This window comes from Homo sapiens, chromosome 2, assembly GCF_000001405.40.
Source record: "Homo sapiens chromosome 2, GRCh38.p14 Primary Assembly".
Taxonomy (NCBI): Eukaryota; Metazoa; Chordata; class Mammalia; order Primates; family Hominidae; genus Homo; species Homo sapiens.
This window is the reverse complement of record NC_000002.12, coordinates 199,327,920-199,354,986: the sequence shown is the minus strand read 5'-3', so window position 1 is coordinate 199,354,986 and position 27,067 is coordinate 199,327,920. Positions and strand designations below refer to the sequence as shown.

Sequence of the window (27,067 nt, the reverse complement as noted above, 5' to 3'; positions counted from 1 at the left end):
AATATAAGTTTCTCATCTATGAATAACCAGCCACAGGCAGCAATTGTGAGCATCTGAATAGCTAATGGTCATAGAGTGCTCTTGGTTAGAGCATTGTCGCTGTGAACTTGGTGAGGTTTTAGGAGTTACTGAAATTCTAATATAGGGCTACAAAGGCCCTACCTACTTTAGAGTTAAATGGAATCCCAGAAGTTTAGAGGGTGGTTGGAAAATGGCTGCCCATTCCCTGCAGTTTTCACTCAGTCCCAGGAAACTTGAAGGAATCTGCAAGATCCTCTTAGAACTCTGGGTTTCTCAGAGACCTGAACAGACTCCATATCTGAACTGTTTATCTGGAAGGTCCCTGGACTGGTACCTTTCCCCAGATGTTGGAATAGCTACCAAAAGTCTCACAGCTACTGGACGTAGAAGCATTTGAGCCTCCCTTGCCTTGACGGTTTCTTAAACCATGTTCTGTTTGGGGACTTACATTAGAAACTGGGGACATCATTCCTTTCCAGGCAATTCCCTCTCCAGTGCTCACCCTCAAGGCTTCAGCCACAGTAGAATCAAGTTCACTGTGAATTAAATTGCAGCTCTGATTTAAAGCCCTGGGAGCAGTTGTGAGTTATTTATTTATTTATTTATTTTTGAGACAGAATCTCACTCTGTCACCCAGGCTGGAGTGCAGTGGCACAATCTCGACTCACTGCAACCTCTGCCTCCTGGATTCAAGTGATTCTCCTGCCTCAGCCTCCTAAGTAGTTGGGATTACAGGCATGAGCCACCACACCTGGCTAATTTTGTATTTTAGTAGAGACCAGGTTTCATCATGTTGGTCAGGCTGGTCTCGAACTCCTGATCTCAAGTGATCCGCCCTCCTTGGCCTTCCAAAGTGCTGGGATTGCAGGCATGAGCCAACATGCCGGGCCAGCAGTTGTGTTTTTACTGTCTCTTTAATAAGTAAGCGTGTTGCCTTTATCAGAATATTTTCTGTTGTGAATGTGAACATTGCTTTCACCGTCAGAGACAGCACTACCTTTTACCCTTCATTTTTTCCAGGATTTCTGATCTTCTGCTAAATACTGCAGGGATAAGATGGCCCTTAGGGCCAAGGTGATGTCTTTGGTCTTGGTTTAGTTTAAGACAGACTTAACATGATGTTTTCCATTACACAGTGAAAAAAGCAAGAACACAAAACCAGGCACTGCTGTTAGGTCTGTGTTTCAGACATTGTGATTACTTTCAAATTATTTTAAAAGAAAGAAGGGAAAGGAAGGGAGAGAAGGGAAGGAGGGAGTAAAGGGAAGAAGAGAAAGAGAAAAGCAGGAAAGCAGGAAGGAAGGGAGAGAGGAAAGAAAGAAAGAGAAAAAGAAAGAACGCTCAGGCTCAATTTTCTGATACAGTCTGGCACATCCTGATACTCCCTCTCTTTTTTAAGCATCTGTGCTTCACTTGCTGTGACTTAAGAGGCTAAAAACGTTATTCTGATATTATTTTTATGAGAGTGGCAGCAAGAACTAAATTAAAATGTTTTCAATTTAGGTAAAATCAGCCAGGCATGGTGGCTCATGCCTGTAATCCTAGCAATTTGGGAGGCCGAGGCGGGTGGATCACTTGATGTCAGGAGTTGGAGACCAACCTGGGCAACGTGGTGAAACCCCGTTTCTACTAAAAATATAAAAATTAGCTGGGCACCGTGGCACATGCTTGTAATCCCAGCTACTCAGGAGGCTGAGGCATGAGAATCACTTGAACCTGGGAGGTGGAGGTTGCAGTGAGCTGAGATTGTGCCACTGCACTCCAGCCTGGGTGATGGAGTGAGGCTCTGTCTCAAAAAAAAAAAAAAAAAAAAAAAAGACAAAAACGTGTGTAAATGGTTTCTGAAATCGTGTTCTGCCTTGGTCATTGTAGATGCATCCTTTTGACAGCATTTGATCCTTAGTCATTCTTAAAGTCGGGATGATAATTTTTTTTCTTTTTTCATTCTTGGTAGTAAAGAACTTGGCTTTTACTGGTAGAACTGTTAGGAGCTGAAAAACATAAAGGGTGACTAGTCTCAGAGGCAGAATTTTAAAACTGGTAGCCTATGGGCAGATCTGGTTTTCAGAAATGTTTTGTTTGGCTTTTATTGTATTTTGAAATGGCATTAGTTGCTAACACTTAAAAATTAGGAATATCATGTAAAATCCAGATTTTTTGTTTTTCAAAAAAAAATCTAAAGAAATGACAATATAAGAAAGACAGAAACTGGCTGAGGTTAGGTAGTGGTTGCTACCTTTGTACTGGTTAGACTTTCCCTCCTCCACCTAGTTCTTCTGCAGCTGGCTTTTCTGGCTGTTATCTACCTGAACAGGTAGGTATTTGTGTTTGCAATGTCTTCATTAATGTTTACTGAGTAGTTAGTACTTCATGGTGTTACTACGGATGTAATATGTTGCTATGTCTTTACAAGATACTTCCATAGTTGCTCTTCTTAACTACAAGAATTTATAAGGATCCACCTGGAAACTCATAAGGATAGAAAGAATGATTATATATAACCTTAAAGAATATGGACTGACATTATTCAGACTCTTACTGCACCAATTCATATAGGTTTCATGGAGCTTTGATGTTTATGCTTAATTGTGTACATGATTTTGACTAGGTCTATGAATGAGGTATTTTTAAATTATATGATTTAGATATATCTCAAGAAAATAAAGTCACTCAAATGTAATTAAATTGTTGAAAAATGAAAATACCAAAATTTTGGAAAATTAATGTTTGGTCAAATAATGCATTCTATAGGAGGATGGTTCTATGTTTTTTCAGTAGAAAATGAAATAGATGGCCAGGTACAGTGGCTCACGCCTGTAATCCCAGCACTTTGGGAAGCCAGGGCAGGTGGATCACCTGAGGTCAGGAGTTTGAGACCAGCCTGGCCAAGATGGGTGAAACCCCGTCTCTACTAAAAATACAAAAATTAGTTGGGTGTGGTGGCGGCATATGCCTGTAATCCCAGTTACTCGGAAGGCTGAGCACGAGAATAGCTTGAACCCGGGAGGCAGAGGTTGCAGTGAATGGAGATCACACCACTTCACTCCATCTTGGGTAACAGAGTGAGACTCGGTCTCAAGCCCCTCCCCCCACCAAAAAATGAAATAGATAAAATATTTCCTTATTAAGAACCTGAAAACATAATTTAATATCTGAATTTATCTTTACTTTGACTGAATTAAAAGCAAATAAACAAGCAAAAGTGAATCAAATATTTAACTGAAACCAAATATTTCTGTCTATAAAATAAGATTTTACTGTGGAATCAGTTCATGGTCTCTTTACCTTTTTTTTCAGTGAGGAAATTATGATGTTAATTCCTGTTCTATGGAAACTGTTAGATTATGTTATCTGAAGGCTCCTAACCATTTGCTTGGTTTGATTTTAAGACTATGTACTTTAAAGTTTAATTAATACAATAATTGAAAAAGGTTTGCCTTTAGAAGATGAGTAAAATAATTTGTTTTCTTAACCTTATGAAGGAAAGGTGATACGTAAAACAAATGAATTACACTATAAGGATTAGGCTGGGTGCAATGGCTGGTGAGGCTGAGGCTGGTGGATCACATGAGGCCAGAAGTTTGAGACTAGCCTGGCCAACATGGCGAAACCCCGTCTCTACTGAAAATACAAAAAATTAGCTGGGCATGGTGGTGCATGCCAGTAATCCCAGTTACTTGGGAGGCTGAGACAGGAGAATCACTTGAACCCGAGAGGCAGAGGCTGCAGTGAGCTGAGATTGCGCCATTGCACTATAGCCTGGGCAACAAGAGTGAAACTCTGTCTTAAAAAAAAAAAAAAAAAGCAAGCAAACATTGTAAGGATTAAGTTAGAAATTGAGCCCTAAAAGAAGTTGGAAGTAAACTCTTGACTTATTTGGAAGTTTATAGGAATGTTAAGCAAGAAATCGGGTTTTCTTTTTTTTTTTTTTTTTTTGGAGACAGAGTCTCGCTCGTCACTCAGGCTGGAGTGCAGTGGTGTGATTTCTACTCACTGCAACCTTTGCCTCTGCCTCCTGGGGTTCAAGCGATTCTCCTGATTCAGCGTCCCGAATATCTGGGATTACAGGCGCATGCCACCATGCCTGGCTAATTTTTGTATTTTAAGTAGAGACGGGGTTTTGCTGTGTTGGCCAGGCTGGTATCAAACTCCTGACCTCAGGTGATCCACCAGCCTCGGCCTCCCAAAGTGCTGGGATTACAGGTGTGAGCCACCATGCCCAGCTTAACTGAGTTTCTTTAAAAAGCAGGAAAAAGCACTGTACATGTCTAAATATAAGGTGATACCAAGACGGGTGTTCACATGTTTTCCTAATGGGATATTTTGCATGCATAAAACTTGTAGACATGGATATAAAATAGTTAAATATCTACCCACATTTTAATGTATTAATTTATTTCCACATATACATTTTTAAAGTCACATATTACATGAAGTATTAATTTAGAAATACTACTTTTTTCCACCCATACAGTTCATTGACTTTATTCAGTGCTTCACATGTGATTTGGCATCAGTGTCTGTCATCACCAACTCCCCTGTTTTCAGTCATCTCACCCAGTTGTCCAGCACACATCATTTCTGCCTAAATTTTTTGAGACTCAGTATTTTTTTTTTTTTTATAAAACCATGATTCTGTCACGGTTAACTATATGGCAAACCACACATTCCATTTGTATAATAGGGAGACAGTTACTTTTTATATGTGTTCTATAGGTGAATATGTTTGATCTCTAGCTTCTTAAAGTTATCTTTAATGGACTTTTGCATAGTCATATCCAGCATTTGCAATTATAAGAAATAATTTCTAAATTTGTATGGATTTTTTGCTTTGAAAAAGAGATCTTGTTAGATTATATTACACCTATAAGCATTTAAAACTAATAATGTTGGGATTGCTTCAGCCCCATTTCTTTTCTCCAAACCAAACTTTGTTTTTCATGATAGAGTAATACAGAGACTTGGATAAGGATTTGGCTATGAGGTGACTGTCTTTCCTAAGACATTATTTTAGGGAAAGAAAAATACTTGCCTTATGCTTGTATATATATGATACTTACTTTTCCCTTTCAAAGTTATTCTTTTAATCTTTATTAAAGCACAATATAATGTAATAAAGCAGATAACCTGAGGAGAACTTCATTTAATGGCAAGTTGAGGTGATGTTATTAATTTTGTGATTTTTTTTCTTATCTGAGTGCATAGCACAATGTTTAAAATATCAATTTCTTAAAGAAACATTTCTATAAAAAAGATAGCAAGTGAGTCAATAAATGGATATACTATGTGGCAGACATTTTTAAATGAACATTTCCATAGCTGTATAATAATATTTATGTGAGCTTTTTACTAGAAGGTAGCACTTAATTTGGCAGGAGATGTTATCCTTGTCATTTCCTGATAACCATTAACTACATACTACAGAAGATAGGAACAGCTGGTGCTTTTATAACAAAGGTTGATTGGGGAGATGATAGAGCTTGGGGGATCTAAGAGGATTTAGAATGGTCAGTGGTTTCTGTCTTGGCTATTTAAAGAAATGCTTACTTTTAAGAATTTTAACTAATTGAAGTGGCAAATAATTTTACTTTCTTTCATATGTTCCATGAAAAAAATCTATTGTAACATTTAGCAGAAAAGAATATCACTTTTATGCTGGAGCTTCCATCGTTGTATGAAAAAATGTTTATATTATTAACATGCCAAAAGTATGATAATTCAGTTCTACATATATTAGCAATAAATTGTACCAATGAAAATAATGATTAATTATCACTTTTATCTCTTAACAGTGGAAAGAGTGGAACGAGAAAACCTTTCAGACTATTGTGTTCTGGGCCAGCGTCCAATGCATTTACCAAATATGAACCAGCTGGCATCCCTGGGGAAAACCAACGAACAGTCTCCTCACAGCCAAATTCACCACAGTACTCCAATCCGAAACCAAGTGCCCGCATTACAGCCCATCATGAGCCCTGGTCTTCTTTCTCCCCAGCTTAGTCCACAACTTGTAAGGCAACAAATAGCCATGGCCCATCTGATAAACCAACAGATTGCCGTTAGCCGGCTCCTGGCTCACCAGCATCCTCAAGCCATCAACCAGCAGTTCCTGAACCATCCACCCATCCCCAGAGCAGTTAAGCCAGAGCCAACCAACTCTTCCGTGGAAGTCTCTCCAGATATCTACCAGCAAGTCAGAGATGAGCTGAAGAGGGCCAGTGTGTCCCAAGCTGTCTTTGCAAGAGTGGCATTCAACCGCACACAGGTACAATTAGCATTAAACACTGTAATTAACAGTAATACTGGGGACAGAATTGAGATAGGTTATAATTATTTTTATCTCTTTAAAAAGCTTTATGGATCTCAGGACATAGAATTAGATTAATTAATAATCCTTAGTTAATGAAACGCTATTACCATTGATCCATGCATGACCATGATTAATTAACTAATTGATTAATTTTGATGAGGTAATGGACATCTTTGAACCCAACATGCAACTCAGGACCCCAAATGTTACTAATGACTTGGGTATGTACTCTCTCATCCTCTCCATTTACTGTTTGCAGATGTAACCCTGATCTTGAATTTTGTGATTATCAGTCTCTTGCCATTTTTTAAAACAAATTATAAAACTATGCATGCCCAGACAATCTATTTTTTTCCCTTGGTTTTGAACGTTATAAAAGAAATAAAATTATGTTTTATAATTTTATAAGTAAAGTTTTATTTAAAAATTTATAAAAATCCTTCAAAACATAAAAGTTAGATTTAAGATATTGATAAAATGATAATGGATAGTTTACTTTTATTTTTAATGTTTGAGAGAATTATATGCCAATTATAACACTAAATGTTGAAAATGTAAACAGTTAATTCACACGTCTTATTTTTATTGAGGGTGCTTATATGTAAGACATTCTTTTCTGCTAGTAGTTCTTAAACTGGAGTGTGCATCAGAATCACCTGGAGGGCTGTGAAACACAGACTGCTGGGCCTCATCCCATAGTTTCTGATTGAGTAAGTCTGAGGTTGGACTCAGAAATGGACATTTCTAACAAGATCCCAGGTGATTATGATGGTACTGATCCGGGGCCGCATGTTGAGAAAAACTTACCTAGCCCTTATATGAGTAAGAACAAAGCAGATGTGCATAATCTCGGGGAGCTAACGATCTAGTGGTGAAAACCAGGTAACCAGATAATTAGAGTAAAATGTGAAGTGTTATGAGTAATGTTGGAGAGTGTAAGCAATAGTTGTGGTGGAGGTTCATGGTGAGCTGGAGGTGAGGAATACTTCCAGGAGAATGAATATGGTAAGCCTTCAAGAAAACAGTAGATTAAAATTTCAGCACCCTCGTAAATGCAAGGCAGGAAGCTAAGCTCTATGTGGGTGCAAAGAGGAAAAAGATAATGGGCAAGCACATATGTAAACAACACTCTAGAGTATTAGGTTGTCAATGGGTTAGACCTTGAAGGATTAATAAAGTACAGCAGGCAAAGATGATGAAGAAGAAGATTATTATTTTAAGGTAAAGACATTCATAGGAAAGATGTTGAGTTAAAAAATGCAGGAATAATTTGAAGACATAAAACAACTGATTTCTGAGAAAAACCCTGTGAACGTACAGAATGTAGGAATGCTTTCATTTATCTGATACCTGTTCAGAGACACATGATAACACACGCTGTAGATGGACCTTACAAATGAAAGAAAGCATGCTGGATTGAAACCTCAATAATTTGGAAAATACAGGAATGTTTCCAAATTTAATGATTACTTCAGAAGTTAAGGGGCTGGGCACAGTGGCTCATGTCTGTAGTCCTAGCACTTTGGGAGGCCAAGGTGGGCGGATCACTTGAGGTCAGGAGTTCAAGACCAGCCTGGGCAAGATGGTAAAACACCATCTCTACTAAAACAGAACAAAACAAAAAAATTAGCTGGGCGTGGTGATGCGTGCCTGTAGTCTCAGCTACTCAGGAGGCTGAGGCAGAAGAATCCCTTGAACCCAGGAGGCGGAGGCTGCAGTGAGCCGAGATCATGCCACTGCACTCCAGCCTGAGTGAGAGTGAAACTCCATCTCAAAAAAAAAAAAAAAAAAAAAAAAGTTAAGTGAAAACTCTCACTGGGGAGAAATCTGATAAATGTTGGTAAATTGGATTGCCTGATGCAAGTTAACACTCAAAAAATGCACCTAAGTGAAATGTTATACCAGTTATAAATATTTTATGTTTATCAGTGGTTCATTGTTAAAGAGGGTCTGTTTACTTTTGGTTTCCACGTCTCTTGCAAGAAAACATTGAGGTAAGAATTTTGTAGATACTCTTTAAGCAATACTGCGTGAGTTAAATAAATAGCGTTTTTGTTAAGTCAGTTAATACATTTTTTCTCTCTTTATTCGAAAGTGTGTTGGATCTCTGGTTGAATTGAAATGTATTTCTATTATGTAGGCGATTTAAATTTTTATTAGTTTTGAAATTGTCGTATGATTAATGAGTCATTGAAAAATGAGTTTTTGTGCTGGGTGCGGTGGCTCACGCCTATAATCCCTGCACTTTGGGAGGCTGAGGGTGGCAGATCACGAGGTCAAGAGATCGAGACCATCCTGGCCAACATGGTGAAACCTCGTCTCCACTAAAAATACAAAAATTAGCTGGGCGTGGTGGCGTGTGCCTGTAATCCCAGCTACTTGGGAGGCTGAGGTAGGAGAATCACTTGAACCCAGGAGGTGGAGGGTGCAGTGAGCCGAGATTGCGCCACTGCACTCCAGCCTGGCAACAGAGCGAGACTCTGTCTCAAAAAAAAAAAAGAAAAAGAAAAAAAGAAAAATAAGTTTTTGTTAATGGTTGGGATTTTCTTACTGGCCTCGTGGCAAGTTTTGTTATCTCTTATTATATATATTCTACCTTTTTATGGGAAAAACTACTCTTTTTGGTGTAAAGATATTTTTTATATTTTCTTTGCTTGTAAAGAGTTATTATCAATTTGTAAGTATAAAAACTGCAAGTATAGTTGGTAGTTGATAAGAAAGGTAGATAATAAAACTTAAAAGGGATGGACACAGATTGAAAAAGGCCTTGAGTGCCAAGACAAGAGCTCTGAACTTTAACAGGCACTGGAAACCGTCATAGGTCTTAGGTAGGAATATGCTGTGCTCCCACCATCTTAATTAGGTCTTATGGAGGTTTGATAGCAAGAGGGTAGGAATATCATTTAGCAGGCTACTGCAAGTATCCAGGTGAAATGTACAGAGGTTTTGAACTAGGCTGCTGGGGAGGGTGCAGAGAAGAAATATTTTGGAAATAAAATGGACAGAAAGTGTATAAATGGATAAAGAGAGGAATAGAACTGACACCAGGCTTCAAGCCTGATGCCTGAGAATAAAGGTGTAATTATGAAGGGAATCCAGGAAGACATGGAAAGAGTGGTTGGAGTAAGGTTAAAGTGATAGTTTTAGATTGGGTTATTTTGACGTTGAAGTGTTGACCAACTTCTTAAGTGAAAATGTGCAACAGTCATTGAAAATATGAGTTTGTGGGGGGAGGGGGGAGGGATAGCATTAGGAGATATACCTAATGTAAATGACGAGCTAATGAGTGCAGCACACCAACATGGCACATGTATACATATGTAACAAACCTGCACGTTGTGCACATGTACCCTAGAATAATAAAAAAAAAGAAAAGAAAAAGAAAATATGAGTTTGGCGCTAGGAAGAAGAGTTATCAGGACTAGAGCAAGAGATTAGAGATGTTGTCACAGAGCCTGGGACAGGAAATGGAAGAGTCAGGGGAGAGAAGGGGAGAAATCACTGCTATCACCACCACCAGCAGCAGCAGCACCAGCCCCAGGAAAGAGAGAAGAAATGCCAGGAGATGGGGGCAGGTGGAGAAGGAAGAAGAGGGAGACAGTAGTGAGAGTATAGAGGACATGCGTGGAGAGTTTCCAGAAGAAGACTTGTCTACTTGTGGAAAGCTGAGAAGTTAAGAGAGAGAGGCTTAAAACCATGTCATGAGATTTGGCAGTTGGTTGGGAGAAGACTGGCGAAGTTTAGAGTATAATTTCATTAAAGTAGTGGGGACAGGAGCCAGAATTCAGGAGTTAAAGAGTGATTAGCTGTTGAGGATGCAGAAGTAAGTACATGACACTTTCCAAAATTTGGTGTTGAAAGGGAGGCCAAAGTGGGTGGACAGTTTGGAAGTGATAGGGGGTCAATTTGAGATCACAGGATTTGGGAAGTTCACAGCATGAACTGGTGATGATACCAATCATTGTGGTTTGGTAACGGTCTTCAGCGGTGCTGGAACTTCAGGACTGGGAGCAAGGAAGAAACACAGTGGGACTGTTTGAGGTTTGGTGCTGACATTTTCGGTATGGCAGGAGGCCAAGAGAGGTAAAAATCTCTTGTTCCCTTGACTCTTAGCTAATTTATACATTCTAATATTGACAGAGTCTGTTAACATCACTTGAAAATGAGTTTGGAGGTCCTGAGAGACTCTCACATGTTCCAGACATCACTCTTCCACTTTCTCTCGTGATTCAAAGTACTCGGGCAATATTTGTGTGTCCATAGTTGTCTGGACTGGGGTTATGAAAGGCTCTGGTCCTTTTGAGAAAGTCTGTTGCATACTACTGCAAAATAAAAATTGGAAGGATCTATCTTTTGGCTCTGTATTTTGCAGTTCTCTGTCTCTGTGTGTGTGTGTGTGTTGTGTGTGTGTGTTCGTTCATCTGTCCTTCATGTGCATGAATAGGCATTTCATGGCTAGCCAACATTTTATTGCCTGGTTATGTATACAGCTCCTTTGGCTAAGGATAAAATTGAAAGCATGGTTGTATTACTTTGGATTTTAGAAGCAAATACAGTATACATTTTATCCAAGTAGCATGAAGCATGAGAGAAGACTCACAATGAGGCAAAACAAAGACAGACCATATTGGCGAGAGTGTATACTTTGCCAAGGACCTAGACTCCTGGAGGTCTGTCTTCTCCCATATAATCCTTTTTGTCTATTTTTATGGATTAATGATTTTTCTTTGGCGTTGCCATCTTTCAAGTGCCAAGTTATAAAAGGTCTAATTGAAGCATGAAACACATTTTATTATTTTCCTCCTGCCATTAAATTTGTAAGATGGCTACACCTAGAAAGAAACATTCACTTTCAATCAACATGAGCTTGAGTTCATGGGCCAGCCTTGAGGATATCAAATGGAAACTGCGTAGGAATGTATGAGTATTTCCTTTTAAAATTCTGCTTTTAATTTAGGAAAGCTTTTCATCCCTCTGGGATCATAACCTGTTGTGTATAAAGCCCAACCTAATCAAGGTAGATGGTACTGACAGAATGACATAGTTTGAACTTAAGCAGGAGGTCAGCAGGCAGATTGTTTTTTGCTGTATGTACTGTAGTCACTAACAGCCGGACTGGGCAGCTGGTTTTACCAGCAGCATTGTTAAATGGAAAATATGGTATATTATGCCCCATGAAACCAACCATAGATTTTCCAAACGTTTAGACTTTTTTGAGTGGAGTCAGATGTTTATGGATGATATAATGACTTGCCAGCTATAATAAACAAAAATAAACATTGTAGCATATCCTCAGTCTATTGAATATTTTCCAGAAATAGTTCATGATCTCTATTATTCATATATTATCAAATTCAATAAAAAGCATTTTAATACATTTTGTCACCTTATATTTTGTGTTCCTGGATTTGTGCTTCATGGTTATACCAAGAGCAAATCGTGTGTGTTCATTTTGTCACCTTATATTTTGTGTTCCTGGATTTGTGCTTCATGGTTATACCAAGAACAAATCGTGTATGTGTGTGTGTGTGTGTGTGTGTGTATAAAATAAAATAATATGTAAACATTTACAAATAAACCTGGAACTGTTAGAAAAGAAAACCCTGCCCAGTTTTTCATGTTTAAGATTTCCAGATGAAAAACTTAAATTCATAATAAATAACATTTCAAATGTCAGTTCTCCAAAGAGAAACTATTAATTACCCTGTTATGGCTGATTCATTGTCACCATATCATTTGATGATGTAAAATAACACAGTTAAGAGAATAGAGCCATATTTTCAAGAGCTTCTTTTTAGTTTATTTTTATTTTAATAAATATGTCTTTTAAGAATATAAAATGTATTTGTTTGATAAAATGATGCCCTATCCACACTTTATGACAAGGTCATGGCATCTGCTGGAGTCAGAGATAGACAGCCTTTTGCCAATATTTTATTATTTATTTATTTTTATCCTTACATTTCTCTTTTGGTTTGCTAACAGAAACATACATGGTCTAAACTAGGAACATAAAATTGAGTCACTTGTTCTGGGGTAGGGATACAGCACATTAGAGGTCATGCAATGCCAGGATATGGGATCTCCAGCATGAGCCTGAGACTAACGTGTTTCTAGACACAGGGTGTGGCTGAGCCTTGTGTCCTGTCTGTGCCATTAGGTCATTATGACCTTATGTAAAATAAGTAAAATACATTCTGAGTATCACCACTCTTTTTTTTTTTTTTTTAGCTAGTCTTTTGAAAGATGAGATTAGCCCTGCTTTCTGTCTCTGAAGACTTTTATGGCAAATGAGACCCAGTGAAAACAGTAAGGTGAAAGTGATAAGGCATTTTCTGACCTGGTCATTAATATTCAGGCAATCCCATGATACATTTCTAAGCACTTTAACCTGTGGCCACAAAGTGAGATGGATGATTTTACACTGGAGGAGCCTCAGGCAGATAACATCCCAGCTCTGTTTTTGATGCTCCCCCGCCTCCCCGCTCCCCGGCCCATGGTTTTACTTCTGAAAGCCTGCGTCTGCTGTTAGGCTTTTCCGTTAACATCTCTCCAGTTTGGGCTACTGATTTTCTCTGCTCATCCTGGCAGAGTTGGAAATGCTTACCACCATCTGATGGGTACAGGAGGATGACAACAGGGCAGCTCCCAGCCTCCTGTAGTAGCGACAGCTCTGAAGCATAACTTCCACTCCAGAGCGCTCTGCAGGACCAGGCTGAAGCTGGGACTTTGCTTGCATTTCTTCTCTTCCCTGTCCTGCTTCTCACACTCCCTCAGCAGTTTCCCTTGGAAGTCCATCTTAATAAATCACTGGTGTGGTAGTCTCTATCTGAGGATCTGCGTTTTATCCCAGATTATAGGTCCACGCCATTTCCAGCCTAATTGGTCATGCCATAGGGTAGTAGTTTGAGTAAAACCTATCTATAGTTTTATGTCTACTTTCTCTGCAAGTCAAAAGCCATATGTTGTTATGGAACTAGTATAGAATTTTTTACTCCTTTCTTTTGAAAATATTATCAGTATTATTGTTTAAAACCTATGCCCCCTATAGCTCTGCAATTCAATGGGTCAGTATTGATATAGTCCAGACTGACTTATGGATATTGAATGTGGAGGAAAGAGAGAGAATGAATAAAAATGAGACAGAAACAGACGTTGGATGTAAGGCCTTATGAGATTTACCAAACTTGACTTAAATGAAAACTGTCCTTACTGGGTCCAAATGGTGAATTATGTGATTCTGTGGCTTTGAGAGTGGCTTTGCCTCTCGGCCCTACTCCTCCTGTGCTCCTGCAGTGATGCACATAGTGTCTGTGGGAATAAGCAGCTGTATCAGGTTTCCTTTTTTTTCCATATTCGTTCTTGCTTATATCCTGAATTTATTTTAGTGCTGACATAGTTTGACTTACTAGGCCTATGTACATGAAATATGTTGCTTGACTATTTAATTTGTTTACATCTTTGCCTTTTGACAGTGTGATTATGAATTCCAACCTTAAGCATTCTTTTGCCCTTTGTTACTTTGTGGACTTTAAAAAATTAATCAGGGATTTATGCCAGTATGGAAAGGTTTATGACAGTATTTTAAGACTTAATATTACTGAGGGATGGTTGTAGAATGCCCACTGACCTATAATAAGCATGATTTCATAAAATATGTACAGCGAATCTTCCTTAATAGATAAACTATTCTCTAATTTATTTGAAAATCCAATGACCTACATATTCGTATGTTCAGAAATCCCCCTTTTACTAACATTGTTTCTCCTCTGAGACCTTCCATCTGAGCAAATCTGTTAAATGAAGTAGAGGAAGCTTTGATCCAAACTAGGCTAAATCCAGTGGAACGGATGCCCTGCCACATGTGAATGGGAGCATTAGAATGCCAAAAAAGGGAAATTAGGTGCGATCCTCATATCTTCTCTATACCACTGTCTCCTTACCTTGGTAGCAGAGTTCAGGAAACATCCTTATGCAAGGAATTAGCAATAAGAAGACTGTATCATTTGAAAATGAAACATTTGCCATACTCATTATTTATGTTGTATGGGGTTTTTTTCTGCCTCTAGCACATCATGCCATAATTAAGAAAGTTTCAGGCTCATTTTGTGTCTCAGCTAGTTCTTCTGAGCCGGTTCTTGGAAACATGTTTTCAGTTGCAAGTACAGATGTGTTTTGCAAAATGTGCTATTCTTTTGTAACAGTAAGTCTCTAATTTGGTATCTTGCTCCTTCAGTTCATTGAAAAAGTTGTAGAGTTACACAATTTGCAACCTTACATCAAAGGCCTTGCTTGGGAAAGCTGTGCATCCTGGTCTTACGTGATAGAGAACAGGATTTTAAAAATCCTTTGGGAACTCATTTTGTTGACCTGTCCTCATTTGACTACTTTTAGTTTTTATGAGACTTTGCAAAAAAGTCTGCAGTTTACTCATCAAAGCCACATCATTTGAAGAAACTTAAGACAAGGATCATAAATACAATTTATGAAGTCACTCAGCAACTGGAGAATGTTTTCAATGGATTGGAAAATTAGATTGAACGATGTATCAGGAAAGCTGACAGTAAGGTCAACTGCTAAAATATAAACATTCATGTGAAATGGCATGGCTTTTGCTTTTATGCTCTGTTGACACAGTGTTTATAGTATATTCATGCCCCAAATTATTAAGGTTAAAAATGACTCAGGACTTACTAAACATTATATTTTGAAGTGGCACAGTTAGGAAGTGATATGTAGCAATAACATGAAAATCCTGGCAACCAAAATATTTGGGAGTCTGAGCTTCAGTGTGTTACCAGTCAGTTTTTTGGAGTAGAAACTTCTCTTTTAACTCCTTTGTTTGAGTTATACATATTGTTAGCCAAAGGTTGGCACAATTTAATCATACATACAGTTTATATTTCTAGAAAATTTGACCTTTAAGGTATTCAGAATTCTGTCAGCCTACGTCTGGTCTCAGTCATCATTATTTCTCACTATCCAATAGAGATACAAGCACCCAGCAAGTCATAGAGTAATAGAACACAATGTAAATCCAGGGATCTTGACTCCATGGTCCAGTGAGCTGGTTATAAAATGACAAGGAAACCTGTGAAAAAAGGAAGTCCACACACTGAAAGATGAGCTGTAAATATGAAATGCCGCAGATCAAGCATGAACCCGTTATTGAGTTTTGAAGTAAATAATATACCCTCTTTTGATTTCAGAACATTAAATTAATAAAGTAGGAAGAGATGGCCCTGGTTGCTTCATAAAATAAACAGTCTTTCATTTCAGGATCACTAGCTTGAATTCATAGATTTACAGATTATAATAATATTAATATCTCCCAGGATAGCAGTGTCTCAAAGTTATTAGATTGCTTGAGGGTAGCCCTGTAGATAGCAGGTTCCCTTTAGTTCCCCTTGCACATATAAGACTATCTGTTGTTAATTGGCACCTTTTTCAGGCACTCAGCCACAAAACGTGGATTGATAGGTCAGAGGGCTCATCTAAAGAGACTTGGGGAGATGATGGCTTTGTTTGTGCTCTGCCTATAGAGAAGGCTAATTTAGCAGCTGTCAAACATATGCAACTCTCCTCTCACTTCTAAATCCACCTGAAGTAGAGACTTGTATGTAAAAGAAGACCTTTCTTTTCTCCTTTCACAAAACTCATGCAAGAGAATCAGAAGAAGCAAACATGATGACATACTGGTCTGTCTTGTTCTTTCTTTCTTTTTTTTTTTTTTTTTTTAAGACAGAGTCTTGCTCTGTCACCCAGGCCCAGAATTCAGTGGTGCCATCTCTGCTCACTGCAACCTCTGCCTCCTAGGTTCAAGCGATTCTCCCACCTCAGCCTCCCGAGTAGCTGGGACTACAGGCATGCACTGCCATGCCTGGCCAATTTTTTGTATTTTAGTAGAGATGGGGTTTCACCATGTTGCCCAGGCTAGTCTAGAATTCCTGAGCTCAGGCAGTCACCCACCTCAGCTTCCCAAAGTGCTGGGATTACAGGCGTGAGCCATCACTCCCAGCCTATCTTTTCCTTTCATCCCTGACCAATGTGCAAAGTTCTTAAAAATTAGTTGCCAGACTCATTATAGAAAATTCAGGCTTCTCTGTTTTTACTAAAGAAAACTCACTTTTGGTAAGTTTTATAAGCTTGTTTCACCATTCTCTAACAGGGAATGATTGACTCATTTTACACAGATAGAGGTCTCTATCCTCAATGAGGACTTTTACCTCTAGTGAGTATATTTCAGTAGAAACCTGCACTTTTTTTTTTTTCTTGTTTGTTTGTTTTTAAATGAAAGTCTTGCTCTGTCGCCCAGGCTGGAGTGCAGTGGCATGATCTTGGCTCACTGCAACCTCTGCCTCCCGAGTTCAAGTGATCCTTCCACCTCAGCCTCCCGAGTAGCTGGGATTACAGCCATGTGTCACCATGCATGGCTAATTTTTTTTTGTATTTTTAATAGAGACAGGGTTTCCTCATGTTGGCCAGGCTGGTCTTGAACTCCTGACCTCAAATGATCTGCCTGCCTCGGCCTCCTAAAGTGCTGGGATTATAGGCGTGAGCCACCACATCCGGCCGAAACTTGCACTTTTAATGTGAAAGTCCATTGTTGTATTATTTAACTAGTCTCCCGAAATTCTGAGTGATGTTATATTTACAGTATGATTTTTATTAAAAAAATACAAGGAAGCACTAGCTTTAAATTCTGTTATTTATATATTTTTCACCATTGCTCAATTAAAGCAATTTTAAAAATATATACAAGGCGTTTTCCTTTCATGGTCATTTATTGAAATGATGACCATTTGGCCTTGGGTTAATTGCATATTTGCTCAAATAAAGTGAAGGAAGTTTAAAGGCCAGAAATGCTGAGAGAAAAATATAATTGTTATCAATTTGAAATTACTAGGTTGTTTCAATTCTGTATACAGTTCTGTGTCTAAAATTGTCAGTATAGACTGCAGAATTTACTTCCAAAGTTCTCTGACTGCAATACCTATAAGAAATACTTTTTACATCATGAGCTGGTACACACCCCCAGATGAGCATGTGCACACACATCTGTATGTCTGTCTCTAGCTATATCTCATTTCTACCTCTCCCTATCTGTATGTTTCTAAAGCAAAGGCTTCATGAAAGAAAAAAATCCTTCATGGAACAATGCTATTACCATGTATTAAACACTTTGGTACTTTGTAAGGTTTTTTAATTCCAATTCATAATAGAAAGTTAGTTATGATATGTTAATTATGATCCACTAATAATTATGACCCATGTTTGAACAGTGATACAGATTAAAGCTGATTTTTAAAGATAGCAAAGTTACTTAGAGAAAGAAAGTTGTTTTACTTTTCTGAAGTATAAATTGAATATTTTAATTTAGTGTTACCTAGAATATTCATGTGGTCATTTTGCATCATATAATTTATTACATTTTTCTTTATACCTTCTCTATGTCAAATAGTTTTAATTATTCCATTTCCTGTAAGTTACTTATATTTTCTGCCTTCTCTATGAGAAGACGTTTAGCAAAATATAACTAGAGTGTCTTGAATATTTAAAGTTGTAGATGTAAAATAAAAATTGTACTGTGATGTTTATGTATTTATTCATCAAATATTAAGTATTCAGAAACTATACTAGGCATCCTAACAATGGCTAACATTGATTAAACTCTTAGTATGTATCACATACAGTTAGAAGCTCTCTAGGGGACCCTATAAGGGAAGCAGAATTATTTTAGTTTTACAGGTGAGGAGACTGTGCCATAGGGAGATTAATTGATACTTGTCCAGTTAGAGCCCAATTTCGAATCCAGCAAGTCTGACTTCATGACTCATACTCATAACTACTTTATTCTCAATCATTTCTGCTACCACAGAGTGGAAGATGAAGGGCATAATCCCTTCTTCAAAGAGGTACAGGGGTAAACAGACTTTCAAACCAGTAATCCTTTTGTGAAATCATTAGGACTGTGACGTGTCCCATGTGCTATGTGAGAACAGATGCTTTTGACCCTGAAGGTGATTAAAACTAATGCAGAAATATTTCAGCAGGAAAGAATAATATTTTGTAACTGTTTCAGAAAAAGTCAGCTCAAGTGTTAATAGACTGCTTTGCTTATATCTGAAGGCATCTGATACATTTGAGATATAAATATTCAATAAATGTATTTGTTTTGTTTTAGGAAAGTACTATTTTTGCCAATGTTTTGACAAAGTAGCCAAAGCTAGTAAATTTTTGGGGCAGGTTGCCAACAGTTGTTTTACGGAACATTCATGGAAACTAGGAATAAGAAGGGCCCAGAACTTTGTGAATGAAATAGTCATAGTGCCAGGTACTTGAGGTGTGAGTAGAAACCATGTATGTGCCCAGAGCTGAAGAACACTACTAGTAAAACGTTTCCAAAGGGAACCTGTTCAGTTCTGTTTGCTTTCACTTTTTGGTGCTAATGTGTTTTATAAATTTTGACTTGGATTGTGCATAGCCTCTTATTCCAGTACCTAAGACTTCCTAGAGACACCAAGGAGGAAGGGATAATCATTACGTAGATTAAGTATGCAAAAACAAACAAACAAACAAAAAACATTAAAGTTGCCAGGAATCTGATTTTGGCTAATTTCCTCTATTGTACATGCTCAAATGTGGCTTGGTCAAAGGTATTGCAGTTAAGGGAACACAGACTGTTTTGGCTTCAAGAATGCTCTGTTGTATCTACTCACTTTGTGTTATGTGGGTACTGTATTCTGATGTGAAAGTTGCCACAAGTGAAATTTTATTGTATCCACAAAAAACAAATCTGTGAGACAAGTGTTTTACTTAATAAATTACAGACTTAGGGTGCCTGAAATATTTGCTCTAAAATGAAGTTTGCATGACCCAAAATTTCAGTTTCAGTTATCTTGTTTTCAGCAGGCTGGATGAAAAGATCTTGAGTATAATGTGAGTCATGTTTTCAATATGTAGTCTCCAGAGCCTGCTGTTCGCTGTTCAGCAAAGATAGGACTCCCACTCCCAGAAATTTAAAAAATATGCATTTGTTGCCTTCTTAGAACCATTCCTATATATTACCAACTGGCCGCTAAGTGCAAAATATGCAGATTCTGCCCCCAAGGAGTTTACTGTATCATGGGAGGAAGGTTTTATAGTAGCACAGTGCAAAAGATGTCTCATAAATGTGAGGTAGAACTATTGCTGTTTTGGTTCAAAGGAGGGAGAAAGTATTTCCAATTGCAGTGTACTGTACATACATATACACATGTATACCTAGTCTTTTAGTGCTTTGCAGAATATATCTCTATAGTAACAACATTTGTCTGCAAATGTTACTTTTGTATATGCATTTATATTTGCAGAATACATTAATTCCCTTTAGATGCTCAATTCTATCCACCCCATCCGACAAAAATGCCACATGCATAGGCTGTCTTTCCTAATAAAGAAATATTGTAATAAAAGAGAGGTTTTATTAAACTAATGCAATAACGACATTTTCTTTGAGGATTTAACACATCATTTTTAATAATAAAAATCAAATTGTCATTGTTGTGCCCTGTATACCTTTTATTCAAATCAGACTAAGTACTCTGGCTTCGTGGCTAAGCAATGCTCTGGGGTGTGGGGGATGGGGTGAGTATTTTTAGCATTACACAAATGAATTTCAGCAGCCAGATTCATAGTGGGGTTGTAGATTATGAATACAGAACCCAGGGAAACCTGTTAATATTCGTGAACTGAGGGGGAAATGCCTCTCATGAGTATCTAGAAGGAAATGAGAGACTGGAGGTTAGGAGAGAAACGATTTTGTTGGGTCAGCTTTCAGGTAGTAGGATACCAGTACTTTCTACAGCCATGTCGCTGATTTAACCGCTTTGGCTAACTCTGAATTGACCACTGAAATTTAAGAGTTTATTTTGTGTGATTAGACTAGGTTTGATATCACATAGTTTTCTTAAGAGGTTACCAGTTTTTTGCTTTCATGTCAGCTGGACACAGATATTTTAGAATTATGTGAAAATTAAGGCTAGCAAGCATACAAAAGGGGTGAAACATGAGGAATAAGGGACCTTATTTGGAAGGAACCTTTTTTTTTTTGACATTTCAAGGGAAACGTGATAGGTTATCCGGGGGCAGGGTGGATGGTTGGCCCATATGAGTGCCAAGGCTCCTTCCACCTCTAGCCTTCTGTAATTTTAATCTGTAAAATGGGAGGATGTGATTTGTTTTAACTTTACTAATTGGTTATGACACCAATTGTTTAAAGCAATATGTAATTATGAACTAAAATACATTTTCACTAACATGTTCTGAATCATATACCTTTAAAGAGATGTAACTTGATTTCTGAAGATGAGTGTCATCCCAGAATTAATAATTAAAATATAATATGAGGGGATAGGGCTTATTTTCTCTATCTAGTCCAAATGTTTCTAAAGAAGTGCTCAGCGTATGATTTTACTTTTAGCATAGGAATCAGAAGTACATCTAAGCTGTCTTTGAGATTTACATGACATTTGAATGTTTATCTTTGTTCACATTGGAACCTAACACTTTCCTACTATATCCTTTCTATGATAAATGAATATTTTTTGGATCAAGTTACTTCAAAAGGTACATGTTTTAGTAAATAGATGAGCATTGCAAGTTACCAGTTCTACCTCTCATTTCAACTGCCACAAACAGAAACAAAATTTCCAGAAAGGAAAACAGTCTCTAGCTAGCTTGAGGCTTTTTCCAAAGGGAAGTACTAGGGTTTGGCTGGGCCAGTTTCCTCAGTACACACCTGGTGTATATCACTTTAAAAAATAAATTATGCCTCATTAAGTTACAATTAAATGGAATCGTGATCATTTGTTTTTCTGGAAGGAAGATGTTTTGCATATTGAAAGCCTAATTTGTTGCAGGTGACAAAAAGGCTGAACAGATTATCTAATATCACTTCATTTTGGGGGTTAATGTTTGCTGGTTAGCTTGTGTATACTTCAGTAGTTCAGAATCATATTAATGTAGACTCTTATTATATTTTTGCTTCAAAATATCTTCTACCACTTTATCAGTTTTTGCACTTTATTTTACAGCTTGTAAGGAAACAGAGGCTTGTCTTGGTATTCTGGAGTACCCATGTGCTTGCTTTCTTCAAATGTTCTAATACTCCCCAGCTTCACACGCTGCCCAATATTCATCGTAACTTTATATCCATGTACTATCTATATTTAAAATTCCAGCTAAGTTAAGTCTTACCTCTTCCAATTTTTTTTCCCTGAATCCTGCAGTTGATAATACTTTCTCCCTCCTTTGAGCCAAGGTGACACTAGTTCTGGCTTGCATTAATAATGCTTGGCATCTTTTACATTGTGCTGCTATAATACCTTCTCCTTCCCATCATATGGTAAACTCCTGGGAAGCAGAATCTGTCCCTTATTAAGTCTCTTCATCCCTCTCAGAACTTTGTATTCAATCATAAATAAGAAATGAATTAATAGACTGATCTGTTTTTTTTTTTGAGACTAGGTATATTGAATTTGGGGGTTCCCTAGATAATCAATGGGAGATAATGGATTTAGGGGCTTCTGAGGTAATCCATGAGAGATATAGCCTAATCCTAGGGAGTTACCTATGGTCTGAGAGCCGTAAAGAACAGATATCTGTTAAAATCTAGTCAGTAATGACTTTAACTGTTGCTGTCAGGAGTGGCATGTCAGGCTTAGCATTCCTAAAGCCTGGCCCAGGTGTGAGTTCTCTTATTGCTCTCTTCCAGGGTTAAAGGCCCATCAAAGGTAATTTCTCACCTGTCCCAGACAAGATGTCAAAAGCTAGTGCAAAAACTTGGAAGTAGATTTTATAGAGCCAGTCATGATAACGTTTCCCAGACTTTTCTGAATATCAGCATATATTGTACATGCTAACAATTTGGGACAAACTATATAAATTGTTAAGGAAGTATGGAAATCAAAAGCTCATTGACACAGAAAGTACAGACTCAGAATCTGTAAGGTCATTTAATTTGTTATAAAGAAATATTTTAAAATACTAGAAAAAAATAAGGGCATTAATTTTTCATTTAAAAATTAGCCTCAATTCTTTGTTTTGTGTGTAGAGGTAGCAAACAGGCTAAATTATGAGCAAGCTAGATGGCATTATAATAAGTTATTGCTCATTTCGTACTTTGAATTATTTTGCTTTTAATGAATATTTTGCCAAACTCATGTATTCTTTGGTGGTCCTGGAAATTATATGAAGCTTGCAAAATGTTAATTAGGCTATGGAAAAGGCCAACTTCCTTCTTTTTCCACTGACTTGTAACCCAAGAATTATTTTGGAGGGTATCTCTCTACCTTGTGCAGATGTTCATTCTGCTCCTTTTAGTCAACATGTTTCCTGGTCTTACATAATCTCGGCTAACACTGTGGAGGGAATTGTTTTAATGTGTCCCTGGAGAAGGTTCTGTTGCCTACGAGGAGGAAAATACTTAATGATCACTTTACTCAATACTTGCAATATATTTTAATATGATTACTGATATGAAAGTTTAATAAGCTATATCCTGGTTAATTTATTAATTTCCCTCCATTTGCACATTCTCAATATTCATGACCTTTCTATTCATAAAAGTGCATCTTTTTTTCAGTGCCCAGGTGCCGCGCCACATTTTCTGTATCCCAGGCTGCATAATGGGAATGTCCAAGTGACACCTCCAGCTTGGCTGGTTGATAATTAAAATGCCAGATGACATAGTGGCAAGGGCTTTAGAAATATTTATGTGAGAGATAAATTATTAATTTATGTTCTATTCAAGACAGTTTCAATATGATAAACATTTACTTATCTTGATAATTAGGTGGGGTGATTTGTGGTATGTGAAAGTTATGCTGTCTATTTTCTTCTGATTTTTTTCTCCTCTGATGATTTTCAACTAACGAAATAGACTCACTTTCCATTTATAAGCATGCAGAATTTGGACTACATTTTTAAAAAATCCCAATTTAAATAGTTAAAAGCACATAAATAACTCAAATGAAAAAGACTCAACAAAACAACTAAAACTCTTCTTGTGCCCACCAGTGAGCCACTTGTTATTGAAAATGTCTGAGGTGAAAAGAATCTGCTTTGGGACCATAGCTACACATATGAGAGTTTTAATAAATAATTTAAAACAGTGTTCTGATTCTCTGGGGGTAATATGTGGAGGTGACACTGGCTTCCTTGTTGGTTTGAGACTTTATCTTCAATTAGGCAAATGAAACAGAGGAAACAGTATATTCCACCACCCTTTAAAAATACAAATATTGTGTCTCTTTCACCTCAGAAATGGTTGAGCAGTCATTCTCAAGGATACTTCATATTAATTTTCCTTGGAGATGGATTAATTTCCCTGTAAGGTTTTCCAGTATGTAAAAAATGTAGGAGAAGAAGCTATACAGTTTCAAAATGGAAAAAAAAAAACAAGAAACAAATTAAAACACTCTGTGTTTTAAAATTTTTTTTATTGATTGAGAATGAACAAACATAATTTTGAGCCATGGTCCATTAGAACAATAGTTTTGTTATGTCACTATTTCGTATCCAAAATCTTTCCCATAATAAACTCCACAACTTGTTAAAATAATTTCACAGAGGAAGAATAGGTTTATAAACTTTGCCTTTGAGATCTCTTGAGTATAATCATAATAACTAAACAAATTTATCCGTGTTGACCCTAAAACTCCTTCAAGTTTTAGTAATTTGAAATTTATTGAAATACCAAATTTATGAGAGTGAAAGGGAGAGGAAGGAGGGAGAGGAAAAAGACCAACTCATCCTTTATATGCAGAATTTATCATTAAAGAAAACTCAAAAAATATCAACCTTAGTGTTTTTTACTGGTATTGAAAGTTGAAATCCACTTTGCTCTTGCTTCTCTGCATATTCATTTGAAGATTTTTATCTTCAAAACAAATTCATTATGAATATTTCAGGTTGCTTAGTGCAAGTGGAAAGTAGGATAGCTTTAGGCAGAACTGACTTTTAATTTCAGAGAGTCGATACTTAGATTGTATCACATTTTCTGGAAGATAAGTGTCTCACTCGTTGCTTCTAAAAGCATGACAAGAAATCTGGATTGTTTTAAGAATCATGTACCAGTCGGTTATTTTTACATACACATCCTACCTTGTCCCCTTCTTGGGCATGCATGCATGCACACACACAGACACAGACGCACACAAAAGACACTGATCTGTAGCTTTTCTACCAAGTATTACTTAGAATTTCTCTAATCAAAGTAACATGACATCCAAATTGTGAAACTGTCAGATGACATAGTACTTGTAAGTTTCTTGTAGTAAAATTGACTATGTGATGTTCTGAGTGGTGATTGCTTCCTTGGAGTGCTATGTGATACAGTTCCTATAACTGGCATTTGCTTCGCTATATTATAATGCATTGCTTTATTTTAAAACATTGCCTACCTTTCCCTGAAGATTTTTGGACAACTAGAGATAGCATATTCCTCTTACATCCATTGCCTTTTCATATTTAAGCCACATATTAGAAATCTGATAGTGTTTCCTTTGCATTAATTTTCACCTGAGTGGAAATGTCTTTGGCATCTGTTCTACTTTACTACAGTTAAAGAAGTGACTTTTCATGATTTCAGTTGCCCCATCTGTTCTAAGATATGGGATTAACATCTCAGGTCTTCCCAGGAGGATAATCCTAAACCCTGTTCTTATACTGCTCTGAGAAGCAATATATTAGCTGGGAATATAAAGTGATGTCTCTGTGTGATAATCCAACAAGTGTGCAGAATGGAAATAGACCTGCACCTACCCCCAGTACGACAATGTCCCACCTTAGATCTCCAGCCCTTTTCTGGAGTCCATACTACTTTTCTCTAGACTTGGCAGCATTTTCCTTTTCTTTGTGAATTCTCTGTCGTCAGAGCACATGAAAACCCTGACTTCCTATTTAAATCTTTCTATTTGGGTGAGTCACACATTCAGAAAGTATCTGGGCCTATCATGGCATTCCGTGCACACTGTTATTACAGTGTGCTCAGCCCCTCGCCAGAGGTGACTTCATTTTCATTGCTTTAATGGTGACATTAGGGTTTCCCCCATGAAGACGTCTCATGAAAGATTTGGGTGCCCTTTGTACATATGTAAGGATAACTATTGTGTGTATAGATTGGGAAATTATCAGAGGGTTAACACAATTTAGCCATTTGCTTTGCGTCTTTTTTTTTTTTTTTTTGCATAAGAAATATCTCTATTGAAAACAGTGGCCGGTCATACAGAAATTCAGCCAGTTTTTTTTTTAAATTGATGTAAATCTACCATGCTGTTTAAATGTCGAAACTAAATTTACCAAACTTGGCAGATTTGTAAAGCTAAGCAGGACTGCCAAGTGTTCCCAGTTTCAAGCAGAGAGAGTTCTAACAGTTCCTGAAATACTTGTAGGAGGCACCTGGTGGTAATTGCAGTTTCACAATTCTTCCCAAGTGCCTACCTTGCTAGCTGGCATGTCTGTACACTGATGATTATTACAGTGATGATAAAGTGTCAGAATAGAACAGTCCTAAAATAATGCATATCCCCCGGAAGGCAAGCACATTGACTTCATATCGGAGAACCCTAAGGAATTAGTGTGAGGTTCTTGACATCACAGCGAGCTGGTTAAACCAAACAAAGGAGGAGAGGGGTGGAAGACAGAAACCACACACATATACCTGCAAATGTGACTTGGTCTGTTTTTTTCCCCCATTTAATCAGGGATTGTTGTCTGAGATTCTGCGTAAGGAAGAAGACCCTCGGACAGCCTCTCAGTCTCTTCTAGTAAACCTGAGGGCCATGCAGAATTTCCTCAATCTGCCAGAAGTGGAGCGAGATCGCATCTACCAGGATGAGAGGGAGCGGAGCATGAATCCCAATGTGAGCATGGTCTCCTCGGCCTCCAGCAGTCCCAGCTCCTCCCGAACCCCTCAGGTGAGAAACTTGCTTTCCGTATTTTTCACTCTTTGTCTTGGAAACATCTTGCCTTCACTAGTTACTGTGTTTTCCCTCAAACATTGAGAGACATAATTCAAGGATTTCTTTCCTTTTTTTCTTTTCTTATTTTATTTTATTTTATTTTAATTTTTTTGAGATGGAGTCTTGCTTTGTCACACAGGCTGGAGTGCAGTAGCATGATCTCGGCTCACTGCAGCCTCCGCCTCCTGGGTTCAAGGAATTCTCCTGTCTCAGCCTCCCAAGTAGCTGGCATTAGAGGCACCAACCACCATGCCCTGCTAATTTTTGTATTTTTTGTAGGGATGGGGTTTCACCATGTTGGCCAGGCTCTTCTCGAACTCCTGACCTCAGGTGATCCGCTTGCCTTGGTCTCCCAAAGTGCTGGGATTACAGGCGTGAGCCACCGTCCATGGCCAATTCTATGATTTCTTAATCCGCTGAACATGTTGGTCAGAGGATATGAACTTCTGACCATATATGATCCCATACTATATTTCTGTCCCTTTAGGAAGTCCCATTCTTCCATACGTGGTAGGTGAGGGGTAGGAAGGTAGGAGTGGGCACAGGGGCGGGCTCTAGGATGTTTATACATAGCTGCTCAGTTAGGAGTTAGGGCATTTGTGTTGAAGCTGAGTTTGCATAGCAAGCACACTGCTTTCCCTCAAATTGTATGTTTATTTGGTTGGGCTGGATGGGGTAGAGGTGGCTGAGGGCAGGGGGCAGAGGGTAGTTGAAGCTCTGTTTTATGTAATCT

At 37.8% G+C, this 27,067-nt stretch overlaps 1 protein-coding gene across 5 annotated transcripts in view; it reads left to right on the top strand.

The window, feature by feature from the left end:
• Positions 1-27,067, top strand: part of SATB2 (SATB homeobox 2) — a 201,767-nt gene that overhangs the window by 116,280 nt on the left and 58,420 nt on the right. For all 5 annotated transcript variants that reach the window (NM_001172517.1, XM_005246396.4, XM_047443775.1 and 2 more), the window contains 2 exons: positions 5,814-6,286; positions 26,077-26,289. In NM_001172517.1, coding sequence (NP_001165988.1) covers positions 5,814-6,286; positions 26,077-26,289 — 686 coding nt within the window. The remainder of the gene's footprint in view (positions 1-5,813; positions 6,287-26,076; positions 26,290-27,067) is intronic.